The sequence below is a fragment of the Homo sapiens genome, chromosome 9, assembly GCF_000001405.40.
Source record: "Homo sapiens chromosome 9, GRCh38.p14 Primary Assembly".
Lineage (NCBI taxonomy): Eukaryota > Metazoa > Chordata > Mammalia > Primates > Hominidae > Homo > Homo sapiens.
Window position 1 is genome coordinate 29,989,621 of NC_000009.12, and position 1,247 is coordinate 29,990,867.

The following is a 1,247-nucleotide window of genomic DNA, read 5'->3' on the forward strand; positions in this document are numbered from 1 at the left end:
AAATAAATCATATATACTCGGTGATAAAATGTATTTAGCCAAACCTTATTAATGAGAAATGGGAAAAAACATTCCCTTATTGCATGAATGCTATGATACTCAAAGATGTATCCAGGAGTTAGAGGGCAGTTTATTTCTAAACACTTTCCTAAATATGGACAAACAGTAAAATAATAAATAATAAAGTCAGATTTAAAAAATGTAAGGCTACATAACAAACTAACGTCAATTCAGGATAACCTTACTACATACAATGCATGCAGGATTATCTTATTCAAATGATATAGCTAAAATATAATACTGTTTTGAGCATTATTACAGCAAAAGCAAATAAGGACACACTATGTGTTATGTGATTTACAGGGTTGACAGGAAAAACAAACTAAGTACTCCCTGCTACTGACATCCAAGAACATTTATTGCATAAATCTTTATGAATACCTTATGATGAAGTAAATGGCAATAGAAAAGTATCCCTTGTTGGGAAATGATTTTTTGTAAGTGACTAAAATACCAATTTTACCTTTGCAGCTTTCTAATTAGCTGCCTAATTTTAAGCTATGTAGATAAAGGGTTATAAACGTACTTCTTACTTCAGATATACTCCATCAATGATTGTTAATACATTGAATTGGGAGGAAATAAAACATTGGAATATCTGAGGTGATACTGATTTTACTCTTTTCTTTAGTGAGGTATTCCTTCTCATAGGGAAGAACCATAGGTATCTTGAGATCCACCACTTCTCAGTTTGGAAGCGGGCTAAGAAAATGTCTGTGAACATGGACAACATTTTCCTCATGAATGTCACTTGAGTATTTTCTAATACATAGATACACAGTTTTACAAGGCCGTAAATACTATGATGCAAATGATTTTAGCCTAAATAATTTTCAATTTAGAAAATACTAACCAAGTAACAATTACAGTTAATTTTAGCAATGTAAATTCATGGTAAATTTTCTAAGACAAATTAATTATCTCCATATAACTGGATGATTTCATCAGATGTATTAATTTTTAATTTCAGTTGTAACTAATTACAATAAACACAGTACCTTGGAACAACACCCATTTATTATCTCACACTTCCGTGGGTCAGAAGCCCAGGCACAGAGTGACTCAGCTGTCACTTCTTCTCAATCAAGGTGTTGGCTGGGCTCAATTCTCATCTAGCGGATTTGGGGAAGGTGCAAACCCATTCAAGTTGTTGGCCAAATTCAGTTCCCTGCAGTTGTAGAATTGAG